General features: G+C 42.8%; 2 annotated features.

The window, feature by feature from the left end:
* Positions 3,990–5,189: an enhancer, noted in NCBI's record as "BRD4-independent group 4 enhancer chrY:22299473-22300672 (GRCh37/hg19 assembly coordinates)". NCBI's record gives its function as "activates an origin of replication core promoter dependent on BRD2, P300/CBP, MED14 and CDK7 cofactors, and independent of BRD4, by STARR-seq in HCT116 cells {active_cell/tissue: HCT116}" and the evidence as "EXISTENCE:reporter gene assay evidence [ECO:0000049][PMID:35650434]".
* Positions 20,719–21,918: an enhancer, noted in NCBI's record as "BRD4-independent group 4 enhancer chrY:22316202-22317401 (GRCh37/hg19 assembly coordinates)". NCBI's record gives its function as "activates an origin of replication core promoter dependent on BRD2, P300/CBP, MED14 and CDK7 cofactors, and independent of BRD4, by STARR-seq in HCT116 cells {active_cell/tissue: HCT116}" and the evidence as "EXISTENCE:reporter gene assay evidence [ECO:0000049][PMID:35650434]".

Raw genomic sequence — 23,133 nt, forward strand, 5'->3', positions numbered from 1 at the left:
CCAGAGTTTGGTCCTTGAGATGTGTCCAGAGTTTCTTCCTTCGTGCAGGTTCATGGTCTTGCTCACTTCAAGAATGAAGCTGCAGAAATTATTGGTGAGGGTTACAGCACTTAAAGTTGTTATGTCCAGAGTTTTTTCCTTCAGATGTGTCCAGAGTTTCTTCCTTCTGGCAGGTTCATGGTCTTGCTCAATTCAGGAATGAAGCTGCAGACCTTAGTGGTGAGTGTTACAGCACTTAAAGTGTTATGTACAGAGTTTGTTCCTTCAGATATGTCCAGAGTTTCTTCCTTCTGGCAGGTTCATCGTCTTGCTCACTTCAAGAATGAAGCTGCAGACCTTAGTGCTGAGTGTTACAGCACTTAAACGTGTTATGTAAAGAGTTTGTTCCTTCAGATGTGTCCAAAGTTTCTTCAATCTGGCAGGTTCATGGTCTTGCTCACTTCAAGAATGAAACTGCAGACCTTAGTGGTGAGTGTTACAGCACTTAAAAGTGTTAGGTCCAGAGTTTGTTCCTTCAGATGTGTCCAGAGTTTCTTCCTTCTGGCAGGTTCATGGTCTTGCTCACTTCAAGAATGAAGCTGCAGACCTTTACGGTGAGTGTTACAACACGTAAACATGTTAGTTCCAGAATTTGTTCCTTCAGATGTGTTCAGAGTTTCTTCCTTCTGTCAGGTTCATGGTCTTGCTCACCTCAGGAATGAAGCTGCAGACCTCAGTGGTGAGTGTTACAGCACGTAAAGGTGTTATGTCCAGAGATTGTTAATTCAGATATGTACAGAGTTTCTTCCTTCTGGCAGGTTCATTGTCTTTCTCACTTCAAGAATGAAGCTGCAGACCTTTACGGTGAGTGTTACAGCCCTGAAAGGTGTTATGTCCAGAGTTTGTTCCTTCAGATGTGTCCAGAGTTTATTCGGTCTGGCAGGTTCATTGTCTTGCTCACTTCAAGAATGAAGCTGCAGAACTTAACGGTGAGTGTTACAGCATATAAATGTGTTATGTCCACAGTTTGTTCCTTCATATGTGTCCAGAGTTTCTTCCTTCTGGCAGGTTCATGGTGTTGCTCACTTAAAGAATGAAGCTGCAGACGTTAGTGGTTAGTGTTGCAGCACTTAAAGGTGTTATGTTCAGAGATTGTTCATTCAGATGTGTCCGTAGTTTCTTCCTTCTGGCAGGTTCATGGTCTTGCTCACTTCAAGAATGAAGGTTCAGACCTTAGTGGTGAGTGTTACAGCACTTAAAAGTGTTATGTCCAGTGATTGTTCATTCAGATGTGTCCGTAGTTTCTTCCTTCTGGCAGGTACAAGGCCTTGCTCACTTAAAGAATGAAGCTGCAGACCTTAGTGGAGAGTGTTTCAGCACTTAAAGGTGTTATCTCCAGAGTTTGTTCCTTCAGATGTGTCCAGAGTTTCTTCCTTCTGGCAGGTTCATGGTCTTGCTCACTTCAAGAATGAAGCTGCAGACCTTTACCGTGAGTGTTACAGCACTTAAAGGTGTTATGTCTAGAGTTTGTTCCTTCAGATGTGTCCAGAGTTTCTTCCTTCGGGCTGGTTCATGGTCTTGCTCACTTCAAGAATGAAGCTGCAGACCTTGGTGGTGAGTATTAGAGCCCTTAAATGTGTAATGTCGAGAGTTTGTTCCATCTGATGTGTCCAGAATTTCTTCCTTCTTTCAGGTTCATGGTCTTGCTCACTTCAAGAATGAAGCTGCAGACCTTAGTGGTGAGTGTTACAGCACTTAAAGGTGTTATGTCCAGAGTTTGTTCCTTGTTATGTGTCCAGAGTTTCTTCCTTCTGGCAGGTTCATGGTCTTGCTCACTTCAACAATGAAGCTGCACACCTTTACGGTGAGTGTTACAGCACTTAACGTTGTCATGTCCAGAGTTTGTTCCTTCAGATATGTCCAGAGTTTCTTCATTCTGGCAGGTTCATGGTCTTGTTCTCTTCAAGAATGAAGCTGCAGACCTTAGCGGTGAGCGTTACAACACTTAAAGGTTTTATGTCCAGAGTTTGTTCCATCAGATGTGTCTAGAGTTTCTTCCTTCTGGCAGGTTCATGGTCTTGCTCACTTCAAGGATGAAGCTGCAGACCTTAGTGGTGAGTGTTACAGCACTTAAAGGTGTTATGTCCAGAGTTTCTTCCTTTTGATGTGTGCAGAGTTTCTTCCTTCTGGCAGGTTCATTTCTTGCTCACTTCAAAAATGATGCTGCAGACCTTTACGGTGAATGTTACAGTACATAAAGGTGTTATATCCAGTGATTGTTCCTTCTGATGTGTCCAGATTTTCCGTCTTCTTGCAGTTTCATGGTCTTGCTCACTTCAAGAAAGAATGAAGCTCCAGACCTTTACGGTGAGTTTTACAGCATATAAAGGTGTTATGTCCAGAGTTTGTTCCTTCAGATGTGTCCAGAGTTTCTTCCTTCTGGCAGGTTCATGGTCTTGCTCACTTCAAGAATGAAGCTGCAGACCTTAGTGGTGAGCGTTACAGCACTTACGTTTTTATGTCCAGAGTTTGTTCCTTCAGATGTGTCCAGAGTTTCTTCCTTCTGGCAGGTTCATGGTCTTGCTGACCACAAGAATGAATCTGCAGACCTTTACGGTGAGTGTTACAGGATTTAAAGGTGTTATGTCCAGAGTTTGCTCCTTCAGGTGTGTCCAGAATTTCTACCTTCTGGCAGGTTTATGGTCTTGCTCACTTCAAGAATGAAGCTGCAGACCATCACGGTGAGTGTTACAGCACTTAAAGGTGTTATATCCAGAGTTTGTTCCTTCAGATGTATCCAGAGTTTCTTTCTTCTGGCAGGTTCATGGACTAGCTCACTTCAAGAATGAAGCTCCAGACCTTTACGGTGAGTTTTACGTCACTTAAAGGTGTTATGTCCAGAGATTGTTCCTTCAGTTGTGTCCAGAGTTACTTCCTTCTGGCAGGTTCATGGTCTTGCTCACTTCAAGAATGAAACTGCAGACCTTTACGGTGAGTGTTACAGCACTTAAAGGTATTATGTCCAGAGTTTGTTCCTTCAGATGTGTCCAGAGTTTCTTCCTTCTGGCAGGTTCATGGTCTTGCTAGCTTCAAGAATGAAGCTGCAGACCTTTAAGGTTAGTGTTACAGCACTTAAAGGTGTTATGTCCAGAGTTTTTTCCTTCAGATGTGTCCAGAGTTTCTTTCTTCTGGCAGGTTCATGGTCTTTCTCACTTCAATAATGAAGCTCCAGTCCTTTACGGTGAGTGTTACAACTCTTAAAGGTGTTATGTCCAGAGATTGTTCCTTCATATGTGTCCAGACTTTCTTCCTTCTGGCAGTTTCACGGTCTTGCTTACTTCAAGAATGAAACTGCAGACCATTACGGTGAGCGTTACAGCACTGAAAGATGTTATGTCCAGAGTTTGTTCCTTCAGATGTGTCCAGAGTTTCTTCCTACTGGCAGGTTCATGGTCTTGCTCACTTCAAGAATGAAGCTGCAGATATTAGTGGTGAGTATTACAGCCCTTAAAGGTGTTATGTCCAGAGTTTTCTCCTTCAGATGTGTCCAGAGTTTCTTCCATCTGGCAGGTTCATGGTCTTGCTCACTTCAAGGGTGAAGCTGCAGAATTTAGTGGTGAGTGTTACAGCACTAAATGTGTTATGTCCAGAGTTTGTTTCTTCAGATGTTTCCAGATATTCTTCCTTCTGTCATGTACATGGTCTTGCTCACTTCAAGAAAGAATGAAGCTGCAGACCTTTACGGTGAGTGTTACAGCATATAAAGGTGTTATGTCCAGAGTTTGGTCCTTCAGATGTGTCCAGAGTTTCTTCTTCGGGCAGGTTCATGGTCTAGCTCACTTAAAGAATGAAGCTGCAGACCTTGCTGGTGAGTGTTAGAGCAGTTAAAGGTGTTATGTCCAGAGTTTCTTCCATCAGATGTGTATAGAGTTTCTTCCTTCTGGCAGGTTCATGGTCTTGCTCACTTCAAGAATGAAACTGCAGACCATTACGGTGAGTGTTACAGCACTTAAAGGTATTATGTCCAGAGTTTGTTCCTTCAGATGTGTCCAGAATTTCTTCCTTCTGGCAGGTTCATGGTCTTGCTCACTTCAAGAATGAAACTGCAGACCTTTACGCTGAGTGTTACAGCACTTAAAGGTATTATGTCCAGAGTTTGTTCCTTCAGATGGGTCCAGAGTTTCTTCCTTCTAGCAGGTTCATGGTCTTTCTACCTTCAAGAGTGAAGCTGCAGACCTTTAAGGTAAGTGTTACAGCACTTAAAGTTGTTATGTCCAGAGTTTGTTCTTTCAGATGTGTCCAGAGTTTCTTTCTACTGGCAGGTTCATGGTCTTGCTCACTTCAATAATGAAGCTCCAGTCCGTTACGGTGAGTGTTACAGTACTTAAAGGTGTTATGTCCGGAGTTTGTTCCTCCAGATGTGTCCAGAGTTTCTTCCTTCTGGCAGGTTCATGGTCTTGCTCACTTCAAGAATGAAACTGCAGACCATTACGCTGAGTGTTACAGCATTTAAAGGTGTTATGTCCAGAGATTTTTCCTTCAGATGTGTCCAGTTTTTTCCTTCTGGCAGGTTCATTTGTCTTGCTCACTTCAAGAATGAAACTGTAGACATTTACGGTGAGTTTTACAGCACTGAAAAATGTTATGTCCAGAGTTTGTTCCTTCAGATGTGTCCAGAGTTTCTTCCTTCTGGCAAGTTCAAGGTCTTGCTAACTTCAAGAATGAAGCTGCAGACCTTTACGGTGAGTGTTACAGTACGTAAAAGTGTTATGTCCAGAGTTTGTTTATTCAGATTTGTCCAGGGTTTCTTCCTTCTGCAGGTTCATGGTCCTGCTCACTTCAACAATGTAGCTGCAGACCTTTACGGTGAGTGTTACAGCACTTAAAGGGGTTATGTCCAGAGTTTGTTCCTTCAGATGTTTCCAGAGTATCTTTCTTCTGGCAGGTTCATGGTCTACCTCACTTCAATAATGAAGCTCCAGTCCTTTACGGTGAGTGTTACAGTACTTAAAGGTGTTATGTCCGGAGTTTGTTCCTCCAGATGTGTCCAGAGTTTCTTCCTTCTGGCAGGTTCATGGTCTTGCTCACTTCAAGAATGAAGCTGCAGACCTTAGTGGTGAGGGTTACAGCATTTAAAGGTGTTATGTCCAGAGTTTTTTCCTTCAGATGTGTCCAGAGTTTCTTCCTTCTGGCCGGTTCATGGTCTTGCTCACTTCAAGAATGAAGCTGCAGACCTTAGTGTTGAGTGTTACAGCACTTAAAGTTGTTATGTCCAGAGTTTGTTCCTTCATATGTGGCCAGAATTTCTTCCTTCTGGCAGGTTCATGGTCTTGCTCACTTCAAGAATGAAGCTGCAGACCTTAGTGGTGAGGGTTACAGCACTTAAAGTTGTTATGTCCAGAGTTTTTTCCGTCAGATGTGTCCAGAGTTTCTTCCTTCTGGCAGGTTCATGGTCTTGCTCACTTCAAGAATTAAGCTGCAAACCTTAGTGGTGGGTGTTACAGCACTTAAAGGTATTATGCCCAGAGTTGTTACTTCAGATGTGTCCAGAGTTTCTTCCTTCTGGCAGGTTCATGGTCTTGCTCACTTCAAGAATGAAGCTGCAGACATTTACGGTGAGTGTTACAGCACTTAAATTTGTTATATCCAGAATTTGTTCCTTCAGATGTGTCCAGAATTTCTTCCTTTTGGCAGGTTCATGGTCTTGCTTACTTCAAGAATGAAGCTGCAGACCTTTAGGGTGAGTGTTACAGCACTAAAAAGTTTTATGTCCAGAGTTTGTTCCTTCAGATGTGTCTAGAGTTTCTTCCTTCAGGCAGGTTCATGGTCTTGCTCACTTCAAGAATGAAGCTGCAGACCTAGGTGGTGAGCGTTACAGCACTTAAAGGTGTTATGTCCAGAGTTTGTTCCTTCAGATGTGTTCTGAGTTTCTTCCTTCTGGCAGGTTCATGGTCTTGCTCACTTCAAGAATGAAGCTGCAGACCTTAGTGGTGAATGTTACAGCAGTTAAAGGTGTTATGTCCAGAGTTTTTCTTTCAGATGTGTCCGGAGTTTCTTCCATCTGGCAGGTTCATGGTCTTGCTCACTTCAAGAGTGAAGCTGCAGAATTTAGTGGTGAGTGTTACAACACTTAAAGGTGTTATGTCCAGAGTTTTTTCCTTCATATGTGTCCAGAGTTTCTTCCTTCTGGCAGTTTCATGCTCTTGCTCACTTCAAGAATGAAACTGCAGACCATTACGGTGAGTGTTACAGCACTGAAAGATGTTATGTCCAGAGTTTGTTCCTTCAGATGTGTCCAGAGTTTCTTCCTTCTGGCAGGTTCATGGTCTTGCTCAATTCAAGAATGAAGCTGCAGACCTTAGTGTTGAGTGTTACAGCACTTAAAGGTGTTACGTCCAGAGTTTATTCCTTCAGATGTGTCCAGAGTTTCTTCCATCTGGCAGTTTCATGTTCTTGCTAACTTCAAGCGTGAAGCTGCAGAATTTAGTGGTGAGTGTTACAGCACATAAAGGTGTTATGTCCAGAGATTCTTTCTTCAGATGTGTCCAGATATTCTTCCTTCTGTCCTGTACATGGTCTTGCTCACTTCAAGAAAGAATGAAACTGCAGACCTTTACAGTGAGTGTTACAGCATATAAAGGTGTTATGTGCAGAGTTTGGTCCTTCAGATGTGTCCAGAGTTTCTTCCTTCGGGCAGGTTCATGGTCTAGCTCACTTCAAGAATGAAGCTGCAGAGCTTGTTGGTGAGTGTTACAGCAGTTAAAGGTGTTATGTCCAGAGTTTCTTCCATCAGATGTGTATAGAGTTTCTTGCGACTGGCAGGTTCATGGTCTTGCTCACTTCAAGAATGAAGCTGCAGACCTAGGTGGTGAGTGTTACAGCACTTAAAGGTGTTATGTCCAGAGTTTGTTCCGTCAGATGTGTCTAGAGTTTCTTGCTTCTGGCAGGTTCATGGTCTTGCTCACTTCAAGAATCATGCTGCAGACCTTTACGGTGAGTTTTACAGCACTTAATGGTGTTATATCCTGTGTTCGTTCCTTCACATGTGTCCAGAGTTTCTTCCCTTCGGGCAGGCTCATTGTCTTGCTCACTTCAAGAATGAAGCTGCAGTCCTTACTGTTGAGTGTTACAGCACATAAAGTTGTTATGTCCAGAGTTTCTTCCTCCAGATGTGGCCAGAGTTTCTTCCTTCTGTCAGGTTCATGGTCTTACTCCCTTCAAGAATGAAGCTGCAGACCTAGGTGGTGAGTGTTACAGCACTTAAAGGAGTTATGTCCAGAGTTTGTTCCGTGAGATGTGTCCAGCGTTTCTTCCATCTGGCAGGTTCATGGTATTGCTCACTTCAAGAATGATGCTGCAGACCTTTACGGTGAGTGTTACAGCACTTAAAGGTGTTATATCCAGAGTTGTTCCTTCAGATGTGTCCAGCGTTTCTTTCTTCTGGCAGGTTCATCGTCTTGCTCACTTCAAGAAAGAATGAAGCTGCAGACATTTACGGTGAGTTTTACAGCATATAAAGTTGTTATGTCCAGAGTTTTTTCCTTCAGATGTGTCCAGAGTTTCTTCCTTCTGGCAGGTTCATGGTCTTGCTCACTTCAAGAATGAAGCTGCAGACCTTAGTGTTGAGTGTTACAGCACTGAAAGTTGTTATGTCTAGAGTTTGTTCCTTCTTATGTGGCCAGAATTTCTTCCTTCTGGCAGGTTCATGGTCTTGCTCACTTCAAGAATGAAGCTGCAGACCTTGGTGGGGAGTGTCACAGCACTTAAAGGTGTTATGTCCAGAGTTTGTTCCATCAGATGTGTATAGAGTTTCTTCCTTCTGGCAGGTTCATGGTCTTGCTCATTTCAAGAATGAAGCTGCAGACCTTTACGGTGAGTGTTACAGCACTTAAAGGTGTTATATCCAGAGTTTGTTCCTTCAGATGTGTCCAGAGTTTCTTTCTTCTGGCAGGTTCATGGACTTGCTCACTTCAAGAATGAAGCTCCAGACCTTTACGGTGAATCTTACGTCACTTAAAGGTGTTATGTCCAGAGTTTGTTCCTTCAGTTCTGTCCAGAGTTTCTTCCTTCTGGCAGGTTCATGGTCTTGCTCACTTCAAGAATGAAACTGCAGACCTTTACGGTGAGTGTTACAGCACTTAAAGGTATTATGTCCAGAGTTTGTTCCTTCAGATGTGTCCAGAGTTTCTTTCTTCTGGCAGGTTCATGGTTTTGCTCACTTCAATAATGAATCTCCAGTCCTTTACGGTGAGTGTTACAGCACTTAATGGTGTTATGTCCAGAGTTTATTCCTTCAGATGTGTCCAGAGTTTCTTCCTTCTGGCAGGTTCATGGTCTTGCTCACTTCAAGAATGAAGCTGCAGACCTTAGTGGAGAGTGTTACAGCACTTAAAGGTGTTATGTAAAGAGTTTGTTCCTTCAGATGTGTCCAAAGTTTCTTCAATCTGGCAGGTTCATGGTCTTTCTCACTTCAAGAGTGAAGCTGCAGAATTTAGTGGTGAGTGTTACAGCACTTAAAGGTGTTATGTCCAGAGTTTGTTACTTCAGATTTGTCCAGATATTCTTCCTTCTGGCAGGTTCATGGTCTTGCTCACTTCAAGAAAGAATGAAGCTGCAGACCTTTACGGTGAGTGTTACAGCATATAAAGGCGTTATGTCCAGAGTTTGGTCCTTCAGATTTGTCCAGAATTTCTTCCTTCGGGCAGGTTCATGGTCTTGCTCACTTCAAGAATGAAGCTGCAGACCTTGGTGGTGAGTGTTACAGCACTTAAATATGTTATGTCCAGATTTTGATCCATGTGATGTGCATAGAGTTTCTTCCTTCTGGCAGGTTCATGGTCTTGCTCACTTGAAGAATGAAGCTGCAGACCTTAGTGGTGAGTGTTACAGCACTTAAAGGTGTTATGTCCAGAGTTTGTTCCGTGTGATGTGTGCAGAGTTTCTTCCTTCTGGCAGGTTCATGGTCTTGCTCACTTCAAGAATGATGCTGCAGACCTTTACGGTGAGTGTTACAGCACTTAAAGGTGTTATATCCAGAGTTTGTTCCTTGATATGTGTCCAGAGTTTCCTTCTTTTGGCAGTTTCATGGTCTTGCTCACTTCAAGAATGAAGCTCCAGACCTTTACGGTGAGTTTTACAGCACTTAAAGGTGTTATGTCCAGAGATTGTTCCTTCAGTTGTGTCCAGAGTTTCTTTCTTCTGGCAGTATCATGGTCTTGCTCACTTCAAGAATGAAACTGCAGACCTTTACGGTGAGTGTTACAACACTTAAAGGAATTATGTCCAGAGTTTTTTCCGTCAGATGTGTACAGAGTTACTTCCTTCTGGCACGTTCATGGTCTTGCTAGCTTCAAGAATGAACCTCCAGTCTTTACGGTGAGTGTTACAGCACTTAAAGGTGTTATGTCCAGAGTTTGTTCCTTCAGATGTGTCCAGAGTTTCTTCCTTCTGGCAGGTTCATGATTTGCTCAATTCAAGAATGAAACTGCAGACCCTTACGGTGAGTGTTACACCACTTAAAGGTGTTATGTCCAGAGTTTGTTCTTACAGATGTATCCACAGTTTCTTCCTTCTGGCAGGTTCATGGTCTTGCTCACTTCAAGTAAGAAGCTGCAGACCTTAGTGGTGAGTGTTACAACACTTAAAGGTGTTATGTCCAGAGTTTGTTCCTTGTGATGTGTGCAGAGTTTCTTCCTTCTGGCAAGTTCATTGTCTTGCTCACTTCAAGAATGAAGCTGTAGACCTTGGTGGTGAGTGTTACAGCACTTACAGGTGTTATGTCCCGAGTTTGTTCCATCAGATGTGTCCAGAGTTTCTTCCTTTTGGCAGGTTCATGGTCTTGCTCACTTCAAGAATGAAGCTGCAGACCTTAGTGGTGAGTGTTACAGCACTTAAAGGTGTTATGTAGAGAGTTTGTTCCTCGTGATGTGTGGAGAGTTTCTTCCTTCTGGCAGGTTCATGGTCTTGCTCACATCAAGAATGATGCTGCAGACCTTTACGGTGAAAGTTACAGTACTTAAAGGTGTTATATCCACAGTTTGTTCCTTCAGATGTGTCCAGAGTTTCTTTCTTCTGGCAGTTTCATGGTCTTGCTCACTTCAAGAATGAAGCTCCAGACCTTTACGGTGAGTTTTACAGCACTTAAAGGTGTTATGTCCAGAGTTTGTTCCTTCAGTTGTGTCCAGAGTTTCTTCCTTCTGGCAGGTTCATTGTCTTGCTCAGTTCAAGAATGAAACTGCAGACCTTTACGGTGAGTGTTACAGCACTTAAAGGCATTATGTCCAGAGTTTTTTCCTTCAGATGTGTACAGAGTTTCTTCCTTCTGGCAGGTTCATGGTCTTGCTCACTTGAAGAATGAAACTGCAGACCCTTACGGTGAGTGTTACATCACTTAAAGTTGTTATGTCCAGAGTTTGTTCTTTCAGATGTGTCCACAGTTTATTCCTTCTGGCAGGTTCATGGTCTTGCTCACTTCAAGAATGAAACTGCAGACCTTTACGGTGAGTGTTACAGCACTAAAAGGTATTATGTCCAGAGATTTTTCCTTCAGATGTGTACAGAGTTTCTTCCTTCTGGCAGGTTCATGGTCTTGCTAGCTTCAAGAATGAACCTCCAGTCCTTTATGGTGAGTGTTACATCACTTAAAGGTGTTATGTCCAGAGTTTGTTCTTTCAGAAGTGTCCACAGTTTCTTCCTTCTGGCAGATTCATGGTCTTTCTCACTTCAAGTATGAAGCTGCAGACCTTTGTGGTGAGTGTTACAGCACTTACAGGTGTTATGTCCCGAGGTTGTTCCATCAGATGTGTCCAGAGTTTATTCCTTTTGGCAGGTTCATGGTCTTGCTCTCTTCAAGGATGAATCTGCAGACCTTAGTGGTGAGAGTTACAGCAATTAAAGGTGTTATGTCCAGAGTATGTTCCTTCAGATGTGTCCAAAGTTTCTTCAATCTGGCAGGTTCATGGTCTTGCTCACTTCAAGAGTGAAGCTGCAGAATTTAGTGGTGAGTGTTACAGCACTAAAAGGTGTTATGTCCAGAGTTTGTTACATCAGATGTGTCCAGATATTCTTCCTTCTGTCATGTTCATGGTCTTGCTCACTTCAAGAAAGAATGAAGCTGCAGACATTTACAGTGAGTGTTACAGCATATAAAGGTGTTATGTCCAGAGTTTGGTCACTCAGATGTGTCCAGAATTTTTTCCTTCGGGCTGGTTCATGGTCTTGCTCACTTCAAGAATGAAGCTGCAGACCTTGGTGGTGAGTGTTACAGCACTTAAATTTGTTATGTCCAGAGTTTGTTCCATCTGATGTGTATAGTGTTACTTCCTTCTGGCAGGTTCATGGTCTTGCTCACTTCAAGAATGAAGCTGCCGGCCTTAGTGGTGAGTGTTACAGCACTTAAAGGTGTTATGTCCAGAGTTTGTTCCTTGTGATGTGTCCAGAGTTTCTTCCTTCTGGCAGGTTCATGGTCTTGTTCTCTTCAGGAATGAAGCTGCAGACCTTAGCGGTGAGCGTTACAGCACTTAAAGGTTTTATGTCCAGAGTTGTTCCATCAGATGTGTCTAGAGTTTCTTCCTTCTGGCAGGTTCATGGTCTTGCTCTCTTCAAGGATGAAGCTGCAGACTTCAGTAGTGAGTGTTACAGCTCTTAAAGGTGTTATGTAAAGAGTTTGTTACTTCAGATGTGTCCAAAGTTTCTTCAATCTGGCAGGTTCATCGTCATGCTCACTTCAAGATGTGAAGCTGCAGAATTTAGTGGTGAGTGTTACAGCACTTAAAGTTGTTATGTCTAGAGTTTGTTACTTCAGATGTGTCCAGATATTCTTCCTTCTAGCAAGTTCATGGTCTTGCTCAGTTCAAGAAAGAATGAAGCTGCAGACCTTAGTGGTGAGTGTTACAGCACTTAAAGGTCTTATGTCCAGAGTTTGTTCCTTGTGATGTGTCCAGAGTTTCTTCCTTCTGGCAGGTTCATGGTCTTGCTCACTTCAAGAATGAAGCTGCAGACCTTTACGGTGAGTGTTACAGCACTTAATGTTGTCATGTCCAGAGTTTGTTCCTTCAGATGTGTCCAGAGTTTCTTCATTCTAGCACGTTCATTGTCTTGTTCTCTTTAAGAATGAAGCTGCAGACCTTAGCGGTGAGCGTTACAGCACTTAAAGGTTTTATATCCAGAGTTTGTTCCATCAGATGTGTCTAGAGTTTCTTCCTTCTGGCAGGTTCATGGTCTTGCTCACTTCAAGGATGCTGCTGCAGACCTTAGTGGTGAGTGTTACAGCACTTAAAGGTGTTATGTCCAGAGTTTGTTCCTTGTGAAGTGTGCAGAGTTTCTTCCATCTGGCAGGTTCATGGTCTTGCTCACTTCAAGAATGATGCTGCAGAAATTTACGGTGAATGTTACAGTACTTAAAGGTGTTATATCCAGAGTTTGTTCCTTCAGATGTGTCCAGATTTTCTTTCTTCTTGCAGGTTCATGGTCTTGCTCACTTCAAGAATGAAGCTCCAGACCTTTACGGTGAGTTTTACAGCACTTAAAGGTGTTATGTCCAGAGTTTGTTCCTTCAGTTGTGTCCAGAGTTTCTTCCTTCTGGCAGGTTCATGGTCTTGCTCACTTCAAGAATGAAACTGCAGACCTTTACGGTGAGGGTTACAGCACTTAAAGGTATTATGTCCAGAGTTTTTTCCTTCAGATGTGTACAGAGTTTCTTCCTTCTGGCAGGTTCATGGTCTTGCTAGCTTCAAGAATGAACCTCCAGTCCTTTACGGTGAGTGTTACAGCACTTAAAGGTGTTATGTCCAGAGTTTTTTCCTTCAGATGTGTCCAGAGTTTCTTCCTTCTGGCCGGTTCATGGTCTTGCTCACTTCCAGAATGAAACTGCAGACCCTTACGGTGAGTGTTACAGGACCTAAAGGTGTTATGTCCATAGTTTGTTCTTTCAGATGTGTTCTGAGTTTCTTCCTTCTGGCAGGTTCATGGTCTTGCTCACTTCAAGAATGAAGCTGCAGACCTTGGTGATGAGTGTTACAGCACTTAAAGTTGTTATGTCCCGAGTTTGTTCCATCAGATGTGTCCAGAGTTTCTTCCTTTTGGCAGGTTCATGGTCTTGTTCACTTCAAGAATGAAGCTGCAGACCTCAGTGGTGAGTGTTACAGCACTTAAAGGTGTTATGTAAAGAGTTTGTTCCTTCAGATGTGTCCAAAATTTCTTCAATCTGGCGGGTTCATGGTCTTGCTCACTTCAAGAGTGAAGCTGCAGAATTTACTGGTGAGTGTTACAGCACTAAAAGGTGTCATGTCCAGAGTTTTTTACTTCAGTTGTGTCCAGATATTCTTCCTTCTGGCAGGTTCATGGTCTTGCTCACTTCAAGAAAGAATGAAGCTGCAGACCTTTACGGTGAGTGTTACAGCACTTAAAGGTGTTATGTAAAGAGTTTGTTCCTTCAGATGTGTCCAAAGTTTCTTCAATCTGGCAGGTTCATGGTCTTGCTCACTTCAAGAATGAAGCTGCAGACCTCAGTGGTGAGAGTTACAGCACTTAAAGGTGTTATGTAAAGAGTTTGTTCCTTCAGATGTGTCCAAATTTTCTTCAATCTGGCAGGTTCATGGTCTTGCTCACTTCAAGAGTGAAGCTGCAGAATTTAGTGGTGAGTGTTACAGCACTTAAAGTTGTTATGTCTAGAGTTTGTTACTTCAAAAATGATGCTGCAGACCTTTACGGTGAATGTTACAGTACTTAAAGGTCTTATATACAGAGTTTGTTCCTTCTGATGTGTCCAGGTTTTCTCTCTTCTTGCAGTTTCATGGTCTTGCTCACTTCAAGAATGAAGCTCCAGACCTTTACGGTGAGTTTTACAGCACTTAAAGCTGTTATGTCCAGAGTTTGTTCCTTCAGATGTGTCTAGAATTTCTTCCTTCTGGAAGGTTCATGGTCTTGCTCACTTCAAGAATGAAACTGTAGACATTTACGGTGAGTGTTACAGTACTTAAAGATGTTATATCCAGAGTTTGTTCCTTCAGATGTGTCCAGAGTTTCTTCCTTCTGGCAGGATCATTGTCTTGCTCACTTCAAGAATGAAGCTGCAGAACTTAGTGGTGAGTTTTACAGCACTTAAAGGTGTTACGTCCAGGGTTTGTTCCTTCAGATGTGTCCAGAGTTTCTTCCTTCTGGCAGGTTCATGGTATTGCTCATTTCAAGAATGAAGCTGCAGACCTTAGTGGTGAGTGTTACAACACTTAAAGTTGTTATGTCCAGAGTTTGTTCCTTCAGATGTGTCCAGAGTTTCTTCCTTCTGGCAGGTTCATGGTCTTGCTCACTTTAAGAATGAAGCTGCAGACCTTTACGGTCAGTGTTACAGCACTTAAAGGTGTTAAGTCCAGAGTTTGTTCCTTCAGATGTGTCCAGAGTTTCTTCCTTCTGGCAGGTTCTTGGTCTTGCTCACTTCAAGAATGAAGCTGCAGACCTTTACGGTGAGTGTTACAGCACTTAAAGGTGTTATGTCCTTAGTTTGTTCCTTCAGTTGTTTGCAGAATTTCTTCCTTCTGGCAGGTTCATGGTATTGCTCACTTCAAGAATGAAGCTGCAGACCTCAGTGGTGAGTGTTACAGCACTTAAAGTTTTTATGTCCAGAGTTTGTTCCTTCAGGTGTGTCCAGAGTTTCTTCCTTCTGGCAGGTTCATGGTCTTGCTCACTTCAAGAATGAAGCTGCAGACCTTTACGGTGTGTGTTACATCATTTAAAGGTGTTATGTCCAGAGTTTGTTACATCAGATATGTCTAGAGTTCCTTCCTTCTGGGAGGTTCATGTACTTGCTCATTTCAAGGATGAAGCTGCAGACTTTAGTGGTGAGTTTTACAGCACTTAAAGGTGTTATGTCCAGAGTTTGTCCCTTCAGATGTGTCCAGAGTGTCTTCTTTCTGGCAGGTTCATGGTCTTGCTCACTTCAAGAATGAAGCTGCAGACCGTAGTGGTGAGCGTTACAGCAGTTAAGTTTTTATGTCCAGAGTTTGTTCCTTCAGATAAGTCCAGAGTTTCTTCCTTCTGACAGGTTCATGGTCTTGCTCACTTCAAGAATGAAGCTGCAGAACTTAGTGGTGAGTTTTACAGCACTTAAAGGTGTTATGTCCAGAGTTTGTTAATTCAGATGTGTCCAGAGTTTCTTCCTTCTGGCAGGTTCATGGTCTTGCTCACTTCAAGAATGAAACTGCAGACCCTTACGGTGAGTGTTACAGCACTTAAAGGTGTTATGTCCAGAGTTTGTTCCTTCAGATGTGTCCAGAGTTTCTTCCTTCTGGCAGGTTCATGGTCTTGCTCACCTCAAGAATGACGCGGCAGACCTTTACGGTGAGTGTTACAGCATTTAAAGGTGTTATGTCCAGAGTTTGTTCCTTCAGATGTGTCCAGTTTCTTCCTTCTGGCAGGTTCATGGTCTTGCCCCCTTCAAGAATGAATCTGTAGACCTTTACGGTGAGTGTTACAGCAATGAAAGATGTTATGTCCAGAGTTTGTTCCTTCAGATGTGTCCAGTGTTTCTTCCTTCTGGCAGGTTCATGGTCTTGCTCACTTCAAGAATGAAGCTGCAGACCTTTACGTTACGGCACTTAAAGGTGTTATGTCCAGAGTTTGTTCCTACAGATGTATCCAGAGTTTCTTCCTTCTGGCAGGTTCTTGGTCTTGCTCACCTCAAGAATGAAGCTGCAGACCTTTACGGTGAGTGTTACAGCATTTAAAGGTGTTATGTCCAGAGTTTGTTCCTTCAGATGTGTGCAGAGTTTCTTCCTTCTGGCAGGTTCATGGTCTTGCTCAATTCAAGAATGAAGCTGCAGACCTTAGTGGTGAGTGTGACAGCACTTAAAGGTGTTACGTCCAGAGTTTGTTCCTTGTGATGTGTCCAGAGTTTCTTCCTTCTGGCAGCTTCATGGTCTTGCTAACTTCAAGAATGAAGCTGCAGTCCTTTACGGTGAGTGTTACAGCACATAATGTTGTCATGTCCAGAGATTCTTTCTTCAGATGTGTCCAGATATTCTTCCTTCTGGCAGGTTCATGGTCTTGCTAGCTTCAAGAATGAACCTCCAGACCTTTACAGTGAGTGTTGCAGCACTTAAAGGTGTTATGTCCAGAGTTTGTTCCTTCAGATGTGTCCAGATATTCTTCCTTCTGGCATGTTCATGGTCTTGCTCACTTCAAGAAAGAATGAAGCTGCAGACCTTTACGGTGAGTGTTACAGCATATAAAGGTGTTATATCCAGAGTTTGGTTCTTCAGATGTGTCCAGAATTTCTTCTTTCGGGCAGGTTCATGGTCTTGCTCACTTGAAGAATGAAGCTGCAGACCTTGGTGTTGAGTGTTACAGCACTTAAAGGTGTTATGTGCAGAGTTTGTTCCATCAGATGTGTATAGAGTTTCTTCCTTCTGGCAGGTTCATGGTCTTGCTCACTTCAACAATGAAGCTCCAGACCGTTACGTTGAGTGTTACAGCACTTAAAGGTGTTATGTCCAGAGTTTGTTCCTTCAGATGTGTCCAGAGTTTCTTCCTTCTGGCAAGTTCATTGTCTTGCTCACTTCAAGAATGAAGCTGCAGATCTTGGTGGTGAGTGTTACAGCACTTACAGGTGTTATGTCCCGAGTTTGTTCCATCAGATGTGTCTAGAGTTTCTTCCTTTTGGCAGGTTCATGGTCTTGCTCACTTCAAGAATGAAGCTGCAGACCTTGGTGGTGAGTGTTACAGCACTTAATTGTGTTATGTCCAGACTTTGTTCCATCTATTGTGTATAGAGTTTCTTCCTTCTGGCAGTTTCATGGCATTGCTCACTTCAAGAATGAAGCTGCAGACCTTAGTGGTGAGTGTTACAGCACATAAAGGTGTTATGTCCAGAGTTTGTTCCATCACATGTGTATAGAGTTTCTTCCTTCTGGCAGGTTGATGGACTTGCTCAATACAAGAATGAAGCTGCAGACCTTTACGGTGAGTGTTACAGCACTTAAAGGTGTTATATCCAGAGTTTGTTCCTTCAGATGTGTCCAGAGTTTCCTTCTTCTCTCAGGTTCATGGCCTTGCTCAATTCAAGAGTGAATCTCCGGACGTTTACGGCGAGTTTTACAGCAATTAAAAGTGTTATGTCCAGAGTTTGTTCCTTCAGTTTTGTGCAGAGTTTCTTCCTTCTGGCAGGTTCATGGTCTTGCTCACTTCAAGAATGAACCTGCAGACCTTGGTGGTGAGTGTTACAGCACTTAAAGGTGTTATGTCCAGAGTTTGTTCCATCAGATGTGTATAGACTTTCTTCCTTCAGGCAGGTTCATGGTCTTGCTCACTTCAAGAATGAAGCTACAGACATTTACGGTGAGTGTTACAGCACTTAAAGTTGTTATATCCAGAGTTTGTCCCTTCAGATGTGTCCAGATTTTTTTCCTTCTGGCATGTTCATGGTCTTGCTCACTTCAAGAAATAATGAAGATGCAGAACTTTACGGTGAGTGTTACAGCATATAAAGTGTTGTGTCCAGAGTTTGTTCCTTCAGATGTGTCCAGAGTTTCTTCCTTCTGGCAGGTTCATGGTCTTGCTCACTTCAAGAATGAGGCTGCAGACCTAGGTGGTGAGTGTTACAGCACTTAAAGGTGTTATGTCCAGAGTTTTTTCCTTCAGACGTGTCCAGATTTTCTTTCTTCTAGCAGGTTCATGGTCTTGCTCACTTCAAGAATGAAGCTCCAGTCCTTTACGGTGAGTGTTACAGTACTTAAAGGTGTTATGTACAGAGTTTGTTCCTTCAGATGTGTCCAGTGTTTCTTCCTTCTGGCAGGTTCATGGTCTTGCTCACTTCAAGAATGAAACTGCAGACCATTACGGTGAGTGTTACAGCACTTAAAGGTGTTATGTCCAGAGTTTTTTCCTTCAGATGTGTCCAGTTTCTTCCTTCTGGCAGGTTCATGGTGTTACTCACTTCAACAAGGAAACTGTAGACCTTTACGGTGAGTGTTCCAGAACTGAAATATGTTATGTCCAGAGTTTCTTCCTTCAGATATTTGCAGAGTTTCTTCCATCTGGCAGGTTCATGGTCTTGCTCACTTGAAGAATGAAGCTGCAGACCTTAGTGGTGAGGGTTACAGCATATAAAGGTGTTATGTCCAGAATTTGGTCCTTCAGATGTGTCCAGAAGTTCTTCCTTCGGGCATGGTCATGGTCTTACTCACTTCAAGAATGAAGCTGCAGACCTTGGTGGTGAGTGTTACAGAACTTAATTGTGTTATGTCCAGACTTTGTTCCATCTGTTGTGTATAGAGTTTCTTCCTTCTGGCAGTTTCATGGCCTTGCTCTCTTCAAGAATGAAGCTGCAGACCTTAGTGGTGAGTGTTACAGCACATAAGCGTGTTAAGTCCAGAGTTTGTTCCTTGTGATGTGTCCAGAGTTTCTTCCTTCTGGCAGGTTCATGGTCTTCCTCACTTCAAGAATGAAGCTGCAGACCCTTACGGTTAGTGTTACAGCACTTAATGTTGACATGTCCAGGTTTTATTCCTTCAGATGTGTCCAGAATTTCTTCATTCTGTCAGGTTCATGGTCTTGTTCTCTTCAAGAATGAATCTGCAGACCTTAGTAGTGAGCGTTACAGCACTTAAAGGTTTTATGTCCAGAGTTTGTTCCATAAGATGTGTCTAGAGTTTCTTCCTTCTGGCAGGTGAATGGTCTTGCTCACTTCAAGAATGAAGCTGCAGACCTTATTGGTGAATGTTACAGCACTTAAAGTTGTTATGTACAGAGTTTGTTCCTTGTGATGTGTGCAGAGTTTCTTCCTTCTGGCAGGTTCATGGTCTTGCTCACCTCAAGTATGATGCTGCAGACCTTTACGGTGAGTGTTACAGCACTTAAAGGTGTTATATCCAGAGTTTCTTCCTTCAGATGTGTCCAGAGTTTCTTTCTCCTGGCAGGATCATTGTCTTGCTCACTTCAAGAATGAAGCTCCAGACCTTTACGGTGAGTTTTACAGCACTTAAAGGTGTTATTTCCAGAGTTTGTTCCTTCAGTTGTGTCCAGAGTTTCTTCCTTCTAGCAGGTTCATGGTCTTGCTCACTTCAAGAATGAAGCTGCAGACCTTGGTCGTGAGTGTTACAGCACTTACAGGTGTTATGTCCCGAGTTTGTTCCATCAGATGTGTCCAGAGTTTCTTCCTTTTGGCAGGTACATGGTCTTGCTCATTTCAAGAATGAAGCTGCAGACCTTAGTGCTGAGTGTTACAGCACTTAATGGTGTTATCTAAAGAGTTTGTTCCTTCAGATGTGTCCAAATTTCTTCAATCTGGCAGGTTCATGGTTTGCTCACTTCAAGAATGATGTTGCAGAGCTTTACGGTGAGTGTTACAGCACTTAAAGGTGTTATATCAAGAGTTTCTTCCTTCAGATGTGTCCAGAGTTTCTTTCTTCTGGCAGGTTCATGGTCTTGCTCACTTCAAGAATGAATGAAGCTGCAGACATTTACGTTGAGTGTTACAACATATAAAGGTGTGATGTCCAGAGTTTGGTCCTTGAGATGTGTCCAGAGTTTCTTCCTTCGTGCAGGTTCATGGTCTTGCTCACTTCAAGAATGAAGCTGCAGAAATTATTGGTGACGGTTACAGCACTTAAAGTTGTTATGTCCAGAGTTTTTTCCTTCAGATGTGTCCAGAGTTTCTTCCTTCTGGCAGGTTCATGGTCTTGCTCAATTCAGGAATGAAGCTGCAGACCTTAGTGGTGAGTGTTACAGCACTTAAAGTGTTATGTACAGAGTTTGTTCCTTCAGATATGTCCAGAGTTTCTTCCTTCTGGCAGGTTCATCGTCTTGCTCACTTCAAGAATGAAGCTGCAGACCTTAGTGCTGAGTGTTACAGCACTTAAACGTGTTATGTAAAGAGTTTGTTCCTTCAGATGTGTCCAAAGTTTCTTCAATCTGGCAGGTTCATGGTCTTGCTCACTTCAAGAATGAAGCTGCAGACCTTAGTGGTGAGTGTTACAGCACTTAAAAGTGTTATGTCCAGAGTTTGTTCCTTCATATGTGGCCAGAGTTTCTTCCTTCTGGCAGGTTCATGGTCTTGCTCACTTCAAGAATGAAGCTGCAGACCTTTACGGTGAGTGTTACAGCATTTAAACATGTTACGTCCAGAGTTTGTTCCTTTAGATGTGTCCAGAGTTTCTTACTTCTGGCAGGTTCATGGTCTTGCTCACTTCAAGAATGAAGCTGCAGACCTTAGTGGTGAGGGTTACAACACTTCAAGGTGTTATGTCCAGAGTTTTTTCCTTTAGATGTGTCCAGAGTTTCTTCCTTCTGGCAGGTTCATGGTCTTGCTCAATTCAAGAATGAAGCTGCAGACCTTAGTGGTGAGTGTTACAGTACTTAATGGTGTTATGTCCAGAGTTTGTTCCTGCAGATGTGTCCAGAGTTTCTTCCATCTGCAGGTTCATGGTCTTGCTCACTTCAAGAATGAAGCTGCAGACCTTAGTGGTGAGTGTTACAGCAGTTAAAGGTGTTATGTCCAGAGTTTTTTCCTTCAGATGTGTCCAGAGTTTCTTCCATCTGGCAGGTTCATTGTCTTGCTCACTTCAAGAGTGAAGCTGAATAATTTAGTGGTGATTGTTACACCACTTAAAGGTGTTATGTCCAGAGTTTGTTCCTGCAGATGTGTCCAGAGTTTCTTCCATCTGGCAGGTTCATGGTCTTGCTCACTTCAAGAATGAAGCTGCAGACCTTAGTGGTGAGTGTTACAGCAGTTAAAGGTGTTATGTCCAGAGTTTTTTCCTTCAGATGTGTCCAGAGTTTCTTCCATCTGGCAGGTTCATTGTCTTGCTCACTTCAAGAGTGAAGCTGAATAATTTAGTGGTGATTGTTACACCACTTAAAGGTGTTATGTCCAGAGTTTGTTCCTTCAGATGTGTCCAGATATTCTTCCTTCTAGCATGTTCATGGTCTTGCTCACTTCAAGAAAGAATGAAGCTGCAGACCTTTACGGTGAGTGTGCAGCATATAAAGGTGTTATTTCCAGATTTTTGTCCTTCAGATGTGTCCAGAATTTCTTCTTTCGGGCAGGTTCATGGTCTTGCTCACTTCAAGAATGAAGCTGCAGACCTTGGTGGTGAGTGTTACAGCACTTAAAGGTGTTATGTCCAGAGTTTGTTCCATCAGATATGTATAGAGTTTCTTCCTTCTGGCAGGTTCATTGTCTTGCTCACTTCAACAATGAAGCTGCGGACCTTTACGGTGAGTGTCACAGCACTTAAAGGTGTTATGTCCAGAGTTTGTTCATTCAGATGTGTCCAGAATTTCTTCCTTCTGGCAGGTTCATGGTCTTGCTCACTTCAAGAATGAAGCTGCAGACCGTTAGGGTGAGTGTTACAGCACTTAAAAGTGTTATGTCCAGAGTTTGTTCCTTCAGATGTGGCCAGAGTTTCTTCTTCTGGCAGGTTCATGGTCTTCCTCACTTTAAGAATGAAACTGCAGACCCTTACAGTGAGTGTTACAGCATTTAAACGTCTTATGTCCAGAGTTTGTTCTTTTAGATGTGCCCAGAGTTTCTTCCTTCTGGCAGGTTCATGGTCTTGCTCACTTCAAGAATGAAGCTGCAGACCTAGGTTTTGAGTGTTACAACACTTAAAGGTGTTATGTCCAGAGTTTGTACCGTCAGATATGTCTAGAGTTTCTTCCTTCTGGCAGGTTCATGGTCTTGCTCACTTCAAGAATGAAGCTGCAGACCTTAGTGGTGAGTGTGACAGTAATTAAATTTGTTATGTCCAGAGTTTGTTCGTTCAGATGTGTCCAGAGTTTCTTCCATCTGGTAGGTTCATGGTCTTGCTCACTTCAAGAATGATGTTGCAGAGCTTTACGGTGAGTGTTACAGCACTTAAAGGTGTTATATCCAGAGTTAGTTCCTTCAGATGTGTCCAGAGTTTCTTCCTTCTGGCAAGTTCAAGGTCTTGCTAACTTCAAGAATGAAGCTGCAGACCTTTACGCTGAGTGTTACAGTACGTAAATGTGTTATGTCCAGAGTTTGTTAATTCAGATTTGTCCAGAGTTTCTTCCTTCTGCAGGTTCATGGTCCTGCTCACTTCAACAATGAAGCTGCAGACCTTTACGGTGAGTGTTACAGCACTTAAAAGTGTTATGTCCAGAGTTTGTTCCTTCAGATGTGTCCAGAGTTTCTTTCTTCTGGCAGGTTCATGGTCTTCCTCACTTCAATAATGAAGCTCCAGTCCTTTACGGTGAGTCGTACAGCACTTAAAGGTGTTATGTCCAGCGTTTGTTCCTTCAGATGTGTCCAGAATTTCTTCCTTCTGGCAGTTTCATGGTCTTGCTCCCTTCAAGAATGAAGCTGCAGACATTAGTGGTGAGTGTTACAGCACTTAAAGGTGTTATGTCCAGAGATTTTGCCTTCAGATGTGTCCAGAATTTCTTTCATCTGGCAGGTTCATGGTCTTGCTCACTTCAAGAGTGAAGCTGCAGAATTTAGTGGTGAGTGTTACAGCACTTAAAGGTGTTATGTAAAGAGTTTGTTCCTTCAGATGTGTCCATAGTTTCTTTCTTCTGGCAGTTTCATGGTCTTGCTCACTTCAAGAAAGAATGAAGCTGCAGACTTTTACGGTGAGTTTTACAGCATATAAAGTTGTTATGTCCAGAGTTTGTTCCTTCAGATGTGTATAGAGTTTCTTCCTTCTGGCAGGTTCATGGTCTTGCTCACTTCAAGAATGAAGCTGCAGACCTTTACGGTGAGTGTTACAGCACTTAAAGGTGTTATATCCAGAGTTTGTTCCTTCAGATGTGTCCAGAGTTTCTTTCTTCTGGCAGGTTCATGGATTTGCTCACTTCAAGAATGAAGCTCCAGAGCTTTATGGTGATTTTTTCATCACTTAAAAGTGTTATGTCCAGGGTCTGTTCCTTCAGTTGTGTCCAGAGTTTCTTCCTTCTGGCAGGTTCATGGTCGTGCTCACTTGAAGAATGAAACTGCAGACCTTTACGGTGAGTGTTACAACACTTAAAGGTATTATGTCCAGAGTTTGTTACTTCAGATGTGTCCAGAGTTTCTTCCTTCTGGCAGGTTCATGGTCTTGCTAGCTTCAAGAATGAAGCTGCAGACGTTTACGGTGAGTGTTACAGCACTTAATGTTGTTATTTCGAGAGTTTTTTCCTTTAGATGTGTCCAGAGTTTCTTCC

The sequence above is a fragment of the Homo sapiens genome, chromosome Y (assembly GCF_000001405.40).
Source record: "Homo sapiens chromosome Y, GRCh38.p14 Primary Assembly".
Lineage (NCBI taxonomy): Eukaryota > Metazoa > Chordata > Mammalia > Primates > Hominidae > Homo > Homo sapiens.